Source organism: Homo sapiens, chromosome 8 (assembly GCF_000001405.40).
Source record: "Homo sapiens chromosome 8, GRCh38.p14 Primary Assembly".
In the NCBI taxonomy this organism is placed as follows: Eukaryota; Metazoa; Chordata; class Mammalia; order Primates; family Hominidae; genus Homo; species Homo sapiens.
The window spans coordinates 17,401,970-17,414,292 of record NC_000008.11 but is presented as its reverse complement, the minus strand read 5'-3'; the positions used below and the strand labels follow the sequence as shown (position 1 = coordinate 17,414,292).

Below are 12,323 nucleotides of genomic sequence, written 5' to 3'. Positions count from 1 at the left end.
ATTAGATAAAAAAACGGTAAGCAGAGTCTCTACGGAAAAAAAAAAAAAATCACAATCCAGCCTGAAAGATGAGTAAGAGCGAGGAAAAAATTGAACAGAACTATGTAGAATTCTATAAAATTTCACTTATGGTGGAGCATTGTACTCTTAGGGCTGCAAGAAAAAAAAAATGGAGGGCGTTCTTCCTCTCTTTGGCTTTTCCCAAGAGGCCTAACGCTAACAATGGCACCAACTACTGTTAATACCATCAATAGGGAAATGGTACCGCATAATGGATGCTTTGTATCTCTATCTCTCAGTTCAGTTGGAGCTAAATAAAGAGGGCAAATGAGCACCCAACACTGTGCCAGGGGAAAAGTGTCGCCTGCAACAGTGAAGTCGCAGGTGGATGTGAGATGCCTGACTTAGGAGCGCGCTTACCAAGGCGCTAACACTGCTGCTATTATTTCCACCCGCACCCCGAGCGCTATGCCGGCCGCGCCTGGGATGAAACACACACATTGAGCCTACAAGACCGTCCTGGGTCTAGAGTGTCTGTGGCAGCCTTCTTTTCTGCCCCACCCTGAAATCCTAGCTATCCCAGGACGCCCTAGAAGGAAGCCCAGGGACGGTGTGGAGCAGCCTGTACTCCCCATCTCTCTTCCAGGAGGCCACACCCAAAACAAGGCCCTCTTTGTGTCTCGGAGAACAGTGGCCGTATAGTGCTCCGCCGGCTGCCCCTGTTAAGAGAGAGCGAGCAGCCCTCGCCCCGGCAACCCCAGGCAGAGGCGCGTCGCGGCGGCGGCGCAGGTGGGCGCAGGCGCGGAGGTGGGCTCTCTAGGGCCGCGCGGGAGCCCCGGGTCCGCACGCCGCGCGCGGAACACCTGGGGGCGGAGCCAAGACCGCGTCCCGCCCACTCCCGGGCGCGAAGCCCCCTCCCCGCGCCCCTCCCATCGCGCCGCAGAGGCGCGCAGGTGCGTGAGGCCGCGCCCGCCCGGGACCCTGCAGACGTGGGCCAGCCATGGAGCACATCCGTACGCCCAAGGTTGGTGACACCAGCGCGGGCGGAGGAGGGACGGGAGGAGATGGGGGAGGAGGAGGAGGGATGCTGAGCGCGCGGGAGGCCGACTGCTTTGAGGGGCACCGGCGGAGCCTGGACCGCGGGCGAGGGAGGAGCAGGCATTGCCTGAGCATCCCGGGGTGCCTGCGAGCCCGGTCGTTCTCTTGCTGCCTCCCAGGCCTAGCCTTAGCTGCTGCTGGGTCTGACCTCTTGGTTTTGGGGGAGCGCAGTGGACACAAGGGTGAACGGGAGGGAACCTCAGTTGTCTGCTAGTAACTGGGTGTAGATCAACCCTTCTTTCTCCTGGCACGAGGCTTTCTCTTTTAGCTGTTGGCCGCTCAGAGTAGTTGAAAGGGAAATAAGCCTTTCGGTGACAGGTGCAAGGAAAACGAGCTAAATGCAGAGGGACTCCTGCGCTTGGAAGCTTGTTAAATCTAGGGTGTCAGGCCCACCCGGCTCGGCCTTCCCAGTCAGCATCCTCATCCTGAGCGTAGCAGCTGCAAGGGGCCTTACACAGAACGGATAATCAATATTCATTGTAGGTTGAATGATGGTGTGTTCTTGCCTTTTCCAGTCCGTTTTGTTCGTTAGAGAAAAGGATGCAGCTTACGGATTCGTCACGCACTGTTGTGTTTTAACAACACCAGCTTTTGCTAATTAACAAAAGCAAATGGTCCCTGATCACTCCAGTAAATTAACATTGGAAACGTTGATCGCTGTACCAAATCTTCCTCCTCAGTTGTACTGATAATCTAATTTAGAATGAAAATGATGATCGACGTTACTGCATGATAAAAACCCTAAACGAGTGAAAGAATATGCTTAAAAACCCTATTGGCTGTCTGTTGTTACTACCACCACAGCTCCTTGCGTTTTTGCAGGATGAACTTCCATTCAAAATGTAGGCCCCTGACAGGTCAAAGCTAGGTCAGAGTGGCCATAGCTCAGGTGGTTCCAGGGATCCCACACATTTAAGAGGGGTGGGGGCAATTGCTTTATGGCCAGCAAGAATTGATTCCTAAATTTTGGAATAGTTCCTGAGTACCTTTTTGTAAAAGCAGATTAAAATGATCTCATGTCATTGGAAGAAGAAATCTTTTAGTTTGCTGGAGAATGTCAGTTCCGACAGTAAATTTAAATTGTATTGATTTTGCACTAGGGAATTAAGTTGTCGCTTCACAATCATGAAATTGTAAACTTAGAAGACAATGCTACAAACCACAGAATAGGTGGCTCAAAGCTTTCAGAGTTTAAGTGGTACTAAATAATTTATTCCAGAAGGGTGAATTTAACTCATGGACTCTGCCCTTGCCAAGGGCATTCTTCCTCCTTCCATGATGAAGGGAGCCGTTTGTAAAAGTGATAGCTGTTGTGGATATTGATAGCAAGAATGATACAGTGACATGGCAGTGGATGCCACTTTGTTAGAGAATATGAATTTGGGGGAGTCAAGGCCTTTTCTGTTCTATATACAAAGCCACCTGGTACAAAGTCACGTGTGAACCTGAGTTGCAAGCAGTGTTCTTACTCTTAAAATTGGTGTTTATGGATACCCTCTAAGCAGTGCAGTACTTGAAGTCAGAAATCCTTATTTATCTGGAAATGGAAACAAATTGGGGGAAAATGGAAAATTGTCTGAAGTGTTACTGAATTGGGTGAGTCATTAACATTTGGGATAAAGCTGGTGAAAAAAATAAGAAATTACAGAGGTTGGATGGATCGGATTCATTTATTCATTTATTTTATTCTACAAGCATTTAGAACCTTTCATGTGCCAGGCTCTGTGTTAAGTGCTGGAAGCGTCCAGGAACTCACAATCTCTAAGGGGAGGCAGTTGTAAATATGTCAGTGTATGATAGAGACATGTGCAAGGTGCAGTGGGTAGAGAGGGAGACTGAAGAGAGGATCAGCTCTGCCCTCAAGGTCAAGGGAAGCCTTCTTAGAAGAGCCGTCTTAACATGGAAGGACTTAAGGAGGACTAGGAGCATTTTCAACAGTGGTCATGTACTTGTATAAATATATATTGTAATAAATAATTACAACCCTAAAGAAACTGAAAACAATAACAATGGTCAAAGATAAATGATTCCTTGAGGTTAAATAACATCCTCCTTTTGTTTTACATTTTTAAGGGCAAAATTAATTTTCACAGTCTAAATGAAAAAGAGAACAACATTACTTACAGAGCTTGCAGAGTTAAATATATAATTGTTACTGGTCATATTCATCTTTATTATTTGCTTCCATTATACTTGGTGAAACTATAGGTAAATTTCCTTCGATTTCATGGTTTCATGTCTTGGGTTTGCAAGGAGTGTATACAAAGTTTGTTTTTCTGGCCCACTGTGGGTTTATAGCAATATTTACTGTGTGGGTAGTAGAGTTTTAAGAGGAAAAGAATTGTATGCATGTATAATGTACAGTTGCTTTTCTGTTACAATGGAAGTCATTCACTCGCTGTAGACTGTGTAATATCCATGACAGCCTCTGTGTTCTGCTTTAGTCTCTGGAGTGCAGTTTAAGGAGACAGATGCACGTGCATAATCTGGAATGCTTTGCACATATTTCTTTCTAGGGGTGCATGTATGTTTAACTGAAGCCTTTAACAGAGCATATGCTAAGCAGAGTGCTTCCCTTCCAGAATGGTTCCTCTAGAGGGGAAAAAAAAGTTCCAAGGACAGGCTGGTTTGCAGTTGGGTTAAAGGGGGGACACCAAGTATTACCTGTACTCATCCCAGTGAACTTCTAGGTTTCTACTTCACTGTCTGGGTTTCCTTACCACTCTGAAAACTTGCTGGAAGCTTAGGCATAATTTGGGTTCAAGTGCTGCTTAATTAAATGAAAAGACTTCAGGGCTCCTGGAAGTAGCTTGAAGTGTTTGTAGGATTTAGTTTGGTACTAGATTGAGGCAAATGTGTCCAGGATCCTGGTAAGTGATTTCTACTTTATATGCTTTGGTCTTTCTGGAAGGCATTTTTCCCACATGTGTAAATTTGAGTTATGAAATAGAATACGTGATAACCTCCAAAACAGACCTTGCAAATGTCTTCTCTTCCTTGGTACACCTACCCCCTAGTCTGACCCTGACTGGTCTCCTGATTTATTTTTTTTTGCTCTTTTCTAATCCCTTTCTCACAGAGGGGCCTGGATGATGCTTTTATGTCTCAAATTGATCATGCTACTTCCCTGCTAAGTTTCCTAGGTGGCTTCCCTTTGTACCCAGGATATAAAGTGAGAATCCTCAGAACTGCTCGTAAGGCCCTTTGTAGACTGAGCCCTTCCTACTTCTCCAGCCTCGTTTTGTGACAATCATCTTCTTATCCACAACCCTCTGATCACAACTTGTCTTCACAGAGTTCTCCAGTGGGACCAGTTCTTTTCTGCCTCGGGACTTTTGCACTGCTGTTCCATCTGGGGGACGTTAGTTCTCACTCTTCACCTGGCTAAATACCTCATCTTTCTAGTTTCAAATTGTGATTTCTCAGGCTGTTGTCCAACTCCCCCATCTAAATCAGATCTGCCTGTTGTATTTTATCATAACACCTTGTGTTTTCCCCTTAGGTTCCTCATTACAATTGTTAAATTTATTTGAGTTATGTTCATTTAATGTCAAGCTCCCCTGCTTGATGGAAGTCCTGTAATGGTAGGGATTATATTTTGTTCACCCTTTGTATCTATAGCACCTAACACAGTGCTTGGGACCAACTAAGCATGCAGTAAATAAATTCAGAATTGAATTAGTGAAGAATGCATAATTAATTCATTACTTTTTGTTTGTTTGTTTGTTTTTGAGGCCGAGTCTTGCTCTGTGGCCCAGGCTGGAGTGCACTGGTGTGATCTTGGCTCACTGAAACTTGACTCCATCTCCTGGGTTCAGGTGATTCTCCTGCCTCAGCCTCCCGAGTAGCTGGGGCTACAAGCACGTGCCGCTACACCTAGGTAATTTTTAGATTTTTAGTAGAGACAGGGGTTTCACTATGTTGGCCAGACTGGTCTTGAACTCCTGACCTCAGGTGATCCACTTGCCTTGGCCTCCCAAAGTGCTGGGATTGCAGGTTTGAGCCACTGTGCCCAGCCTCATTACTTTATTTTTAAGAATTTGCTTTATTAATCCAGGCCTCTTGTGCATTGTACAGTTGTATACAATACTACTTGACAGTGTTGTGGATCTTATAGTATTAGTGTGAAATATTTGTGGATGTCAGTGTATCTGACATAATATGTGAGATATATATGAAACATATTTTGCAATTATATATATTTAATGAGATAAAATTCAAATAATGTAAAATTCACCATTTTTATTAAAATGCACAATTCAGTGGTTTTAGTATATTTACATATTGTGCAGACATCACCACCATCTGGTTCTAGAACACTTTTGTCACCCCCAAAAGAAATCCATTAGTAGTTAGCCCATTAGTAGTTAAACTTGATGATGCCCATCAAGTTACCCATTAGTAGTTAGGCTTGATGATAATATCTTATACTTCTCTACGTTGAATATTATCTCATTGAATTTAGACTTTTGCTCATCTCTTACTCTTTTTTGGATGCTGATACACATCTGCTGTTCCTGTCAGTTTGGTACCATCCACTATTTAATCAGCTTGCTTTCTGTTACCTCATTCATTGTCTTATCCAAGAGCAGAAGTGACTTCTTAAGCCACTTGCCCCCATCTCTCAGGATCTTGATCCTAATAGCAGATTCAGTAGTTCTCTCAGTTTGATGTCATCTAGCAGTTGATAAGTTTGTCCTTCATCACGTCGCCAAAGAGCTCATCAAAGAAAGAAAGGAAGTCTTCTGAAATAATGACGGTGAATCCATGATGTTCTTTTTTTTTTTTTTTTTTTTTTTGAGACGGAGTCTCGCTCTGTCGCCCAGGCCGGACTGTGGACTGCAGTGGCGCAATCTCGGCTCACTGCAAGCTCCGCCTCCCGGGTTCACGCCATTCTCCTGCCTCAGCCTCCCAAGTAGGTGGGACTACAGGCGCCCGCCACTACGCCCGGCTAATTTTTGTATTTTTAGTAGAGACGGGGTTTCACCGTTTTAGCCGGGATGGTCTCGATCTCCTGACCTCGTGGTCCGCCCGCCTCGGCCTCCCAAAGTGCTGGGATTACAGGCGTGAGCCACCGCGCCCGGCCTCTCCATGATGTTCTTGCTGATTGATGGTTTCCACTTTTTAGGTTCATACAAAGGTCCATTAAATAACTCATTTTAGAACCCTGCCAGAATTAGTGTTGAACTCAACAACTTATAATTATACAATTCTGTTTTCACCGTGGGCAAATAGTGATCTCATTTTCAAGTTCTGTCTGTGATAGACGGACATCAGCAGATCCATGAGGTTTGCCTTCTCTTGATCATTCACTGTCAGTATACTGTCAGCTCCAAGGGTTATCTCTTCTTTTATCTTCCTTTAGCAAATAATAATTTTCTGGTTATAAAAGTAATATGGACTACATGTAGAAATTAGCCACTTTTAATATTTGGGTACATTTTCTTCTGGTGTTTTTTTTCTTTGCGTGCACTAAACATTGTTTGCTTAGAAATTTAGGATCACCCAGTTCAATTTTGTAGTTTGCTTCTTTAAACGTACCATATTTCAGTGTTCAAAACATACTTTTAGAAGGTTATGTGGGGCTTTTTTTTTTAATCCTATGGAAATGTCATTATATTTACCACTTCCCCATTTTAGGGCTATTATAATAATGTCCTGATGAACATCTCATTATTATCTGCATGTGATTTCTTCCCTAGAATAGAACCCTAGATGGAATTACTGTGTCAAAGAAGATGAATAGTTTTATAGTTGGTATATATTACCAAATGACTTTCCGAAAACGTTATGTCATTTAACACTTTCATTAATAGAATATAGACTATGTTTCTTACTATACCATTCCATTGCTTTCTTATTTAAGGTTATTTTTTGCTAATTTAAAGGGGAGAATAGCACTTCATTCTTTTAGTGTATTTTTTTTTACCAGCGAGGTTGAAGTTTTTCCAAAAATATGTTTACTGACCATTTTGTTACTTTTTGAATTATCTATTTATATTTTCCCCATTTTAATAATGGGTGATTTAGTGTGTGTGTATAGTGTGTGTATTTCAATAGCTTTATTGAAGTATAATTTACCTAGCATAAAATTTACCTTTCTAAAGTATGCAATTTTGTGATTTTTTGGTATATTCACAGAGTTGTACCACCATCATCATTATCTAATTTCAGAACATTTTCATTACTCCAAAGAGAAACACTATACCCATTGGCATTCAGTCTCCATTTCTCCCTCACCCCACCCAAGGTAACCACTAAATATACATTCTGTCTCTATATATGTTTGTTTTTCTGGACATTTTAAATTTAATCATACAATATGTGGCCTTTTGTGACCTCTTCTTTTCACTTAATGTTTTTAAGGTTTGTCTAAGTTGTAGCATGTATCAGTACTTCATTTCGTTTTATCTGTTCTGTGGCTAATCCTGCATTTTGTTTATACATTTATCAGTTGAGGGAGATTTTTTGGCAATTATGAATAATGCTGCTATAAACTTCGGTGATAAGTTTTTGTGTGGACGTATGTTTGTATTTCTCTTGGATAGAATTTCATTTCTCTGAGAACAGAATTTGGTGAATCGTATAGCAACTTTGTGGTTATCATTTTAAGGCACTGCCAAATTGTTTTCCAAAGTGGCTGCACTATTTCAGAACCCCGACAATAATGTGTAAGGGTTCCAGTTTTTCCATATCATCACTGACACTTGTCATTGTTTTTTATTTTAGCCATTCAGGTGGGTGTGAAGTGGTATCTCATCCTGGTTTTGATTTGTGTTTTTCTAATGACTAATGATATTGAGCATGTTTTCGTGTGCTTATCAACCATTTTCCTGTCTTTTTTGGAGAAATGCTTATTCAATTCCTTTGTTTCTTTCTTGAGTTATTTTTATTAAATTATTGGGTTGCAAAATTATGTAATCTGGATACAAATCCTTAGTCAGTTATATGACTTGTAAATGTTTCCTCCCGTTCTGTAGGTTTTCTTTTCACTGTTTTGATGTCTCTTGAAGCACAAGAAGTTTTGAATTTTGATGAAGTCCAACTTATTTTTTCTTTTGTCACTTGTGCTTTTTGTGTCATATCTATGTATATTTTCTAGAAAGCCTTTTTCTGATTATAAAAGTCATACATTACAGAAAATTTAGTTCAAAGGAGCAGAAAGAAAATAGTAATTTTGCATAATTTCAGATATTTGCATAAATCCAGAAATATTTGCATAAATCCAGAAAAAATGCTGTGTATATATTAACATTTTTCTTTACATATATAAAACAGTGTAATTTAAAAGAAAATCATGTCCATTTTCTCTGTGGTGTGTGTGTGTGTGTGTGTGTGTGTGTGTGTGTGTGTGTGTGTATAGTTTTGGGGAATGAGAACCTGTTTTTTAATATGTCAAAATATTTTTCTCATTTTATTAAACCTTCTGAAAAGTGATTTTTTTTTTAACCACATAGTCCACATTATGATGATGACCATACATTATTTAGTGTCTGGAGGCAATTCTCCATGGCCTTTTGCAGTTTTGCACTTTTGTTCTATACTATCTTTTCAAGGATGATTTTATAGTGAACAGCCTTGAAAGAGAGGAATAGCTTCTTCCTTAGTAGCAGAGGGCATATTTATTTGCTGTCCGGGGTAATAAAGATAATGTCATCCTCACAAAGGATTACTTGCATCCTGTTTATGTGATGGGCATTTCTTAAACTCTGAGTCTCTAAAGTTCCTCATCTAGGACTCAGAGCCCTGCTCTGTGCAGCATCCATATGGACTGCTCCATATTGCCCCTTAGACTTGGGAGGGGGAGCGTGGAGAGTCAATATGAAGATAAAGCTTCTCCCTCCTGGTGTACAGGAATACGAATGTCCTTTGTCTCTGACCCAGAAGTCTTGTGTCTTCTGCCAGCATATGAAACACTGGGAGGCTACTTGTTAGGTTGTAAGCAGGTTCAAATTTCAAACACTTCCTAGTTCTTGACAGTGAATCCCCTAGTATTTGATATTTAATTTATCTCTATATTGTCACTATAATAAATAACTGATAGGCTGGGCGCAGTGGCTCACGCCTGTAATCCCAACACTTTGGGAGGCCAAGGCGGACGGATCGTTTGAGGTCAGAAGTTCAGGGCCAGCCTGGCCAACATGGTGAAATCCTGTCTCTACTAATTTACAAACCTGTCTCTACTAATATAAAATACAAAAATTAGCCAGTCATAGCGGCCAGTGCTTGTAATCCTAGCTACTCTGGAGGCTGAGGCAGGAGAATCACTTAAACCTCGGAGGCAGAGGTTGCAGTGAGCTGAGATCGCGCCGCTGCACTCCAGCTTGGGCTACAGAGCAAGACTCCGTCTCAACAAAACAAAACAAAAACAAAACAACAACAAAACAAAACCAACCACCAACAAAAAAACCTGATAAACATCAATGTATTTAAATTGTTGGGTAAGTCTCTATTACCTGAGATTAAGTTTCTCAGGTATCTTTTCTGGTTTCATTTCTATATATATTTTAAAGATTTTTGATGCTGTTTGTATGTTTTCCTCTAGGATTGTGTCTGCTAGTATGGCAGAGGAATACCCTTTAAAAAATTCTTGAGAATTGTAGATGAAGTATGGTTTCTCATCAATTTATGTTTGTTTACTGTTGAGATTGAATTTATTTTTTGCAATTGTTTGTAACAAGAGCAATACAATAATAGTACTGATAGTACTGATAAGATCCATAATATCTATAAGATTCATAGTACCTGGATCTTATTAAGAAAATAATTTGTATATCTAATAGGTACCTCAATTTCACTATGTCCCAAACTGAACTAATTCCCTCTCGCTTCACACCCAATTTTCTCCTCTTGTACTCTTTCCAATCTCGGCGATCCACCGTTCCAGTGCTGGAGCCAATAACTTTGGAGTTATCCTTCAATCCTCTTTTTATCTCCTCCCATATCTATTCCAATAGTAAATCCTCACCTTATCCAGGTTATCCCACCTCCGTTCCTACCACCCTATTCTGAAATACTGTCAACTCTTGCCTGGTCCCCTTTCCATTTTTGCCACTCCCCCACCAGTTTATTTTTGCCAGAGATACTGTTAAATATAATTTGGAGCTTGGACTTCTTTCGTGGGTCTCCTCACACAGAAAGCATCTAAACTGGAAAGGAAACAGTCAAATTATCCTTGTTTGCAGATGATATGATCTTATATTTGGAAAAACCTAAAGACTCCACCAAAAAAAGATTGGAACTGACAAAGAATTCTGTCAAGTTGCAAGATACGAAATCAAAATACAAAAAGCAGTAGCGTTCATGTATGCCAACAGTGAACAATGTGAAAAAGAAATCAAGAGACCAATCCTATTTATAATAGCTACAAATAATATAAAATACCTAGGAAACAATTTAACCTAAGAAGTAAAAGATCTATAAAAGGCAAACTATAAAACGCTGATGAAAGAAATTGAAGAGGACACACAAAAACTGAAAAGATATTCCATGTTCATGGATTGGAAGAATAAATATTGTTAAAATGTCCATACAACCCAAAGCAATCTACAAATTTACAATCCTTATCAAAATGCCAATGCCATTCTTGACAGAAATAGAAAAAATCATAAAAGTTACATAGAGTAACAAAAGACCCAGAATAGCCAAATGTATTCTGTGCAAAAAGAACAAAACTGGAGGAATCACATACCTGACTTCAAATTATACTACAGAGCTACCGTAACCAAAACAGTATGGTATTGGCATAAAAACAGAGACATAGACCGCTGGAACAGAAAAAGAAACCCAGAAACAAATCCACACACCTACAGTGGACTTGTTTTCGAAAATAGTGCCAATGACATATATTGGGAAAAAGACAGTCTCTTCAATAAATGGTGCTTAGAAAACTGGATATCCATATGCAGAAGAATGAAACTAGACCCATATATCTTGCCCTACCAAGTTAAAAAGCTTCTTCACAGCAAAGGAAACAACCAACAAAGCAAAGAGACAACCCACAGAATGGGAGAAAATATTTGTAAACTATCCATCTGACAAGGGAGTAATAACCAGAATATATAAGGGGCTCAAACAACTCTATAGGAAAAAAAATCTAATAATCTGATTTAAAAATAGACAAAATTTCTAAATAGACATTTCTCAAAGGAAGACATACAAATGGCAGGCAGGTATATGAAAAGGTGCTCAACATCAGGAACCATCAGAGAAGTGAAAATCAAAAGTACAGTGAGATACTGTATCACCCCAGTTAAAATGGCTTTTATCCAGAAGACAGGCAATAACAAATGCTGGCAAGGATAAGAAGAAAAGGGAACTCTCATGCACTGTTGGTGGGAATGTAAATTAGTACAATCACTATGGAGAACTGTTTGGAGGTTCCTCAAAAAACTAAAAACAGAGCTAAAATACAATCCAGCAAGCCCACTACTGGTTATATATGAGTATGTCCAAGAGATACCTGTGCTCCCATGCTTATGGCAGCATTATTCACAGAAGTCGAGATTTGGAAGCAAACTAAGTGGCCATCAACAGACGAATGTATAAAGAAAACGTAGTACATATATACAATGGAGTACTATTCAGGCATAAAAAAGGAGGAGATCCCGTCATTTGCAGCAACATGGATGGGACTGAAGGTCATTGTGCTAAGTGAAAGAAGCCAGCTACAGAAAGACAAACTTCACATATTCTCGCTTATTTGTGGGAGCTAAAAATTAAAACAATTGAACACATGGAGACAGAGGGTAGAAGGATGGTTATCAGAGGCTGGGGAAGGTAGTGGGGTCTGGGGCAGGTGAGGGCGGATAGTGGCAATTGTTAACGGCTACAGAAAGTAGTTAGAAAGAATGAGTAAGACCTAGTATTTGATAGCACAACAGGGTGAATAATAATTTAATAAATAATAATAATTTAGCATTTTAAAGTAACTAAAAGAGTATAACTGGATTGTTTGTAACACAAAGAATAAACGTTTCAGGAGCTAGATACCCCATTTACCATGATGTGATTATTACACAACGCATGCCTGTATCAAAGTATCTCACATACTCCATAAATATATAGACCTACTATGTGCTCAGAAAAGTTAAAAAAATTTTTAAAAATAATTTTCCAGAATTTTATTGATAGACTGAATTTATTATGTCTTGTTTATATCAGACTACTTTCAAAAGAATTTGAGACCTTTGTAAAGTATACATGATTTAAAAAATAACCCTATA

At 40.1% G+C, this 12,323-nt stretch overlaps 1 protein-coding gene across 3 annotated transcripts in view; it reads left to right on the top strand.

Annotated features, from left to right (window-relative positions):
• Nucleotides 1-941: 941 nt before the first annotated feature.
• Nucleotides 942-12,323, top strand: part of MTMR7 (myotubularin related protein 7) — a 116,558-nt gene continuing 105,176 nt past the window's right edge. For 2 of the 3 annotated variants that reach the window (NM_004686.5, XM_047422408.1), the window contains exon 1: nt 942-1,024. In NM_004686.5, coding sequence (NP_004677.3) covers nt 1,001-1,024 — 24 coding nt within the window. In that variant the 5' untranslated portion in view covers nt 942-1,000. Of the gene's footprint in view, nt 1,025-7,239; nt 7,349-12,323 lie in introns of all 3 variants that reach the window. The other variant, XM_047422407.1, reaches the window with a different exon arrangement.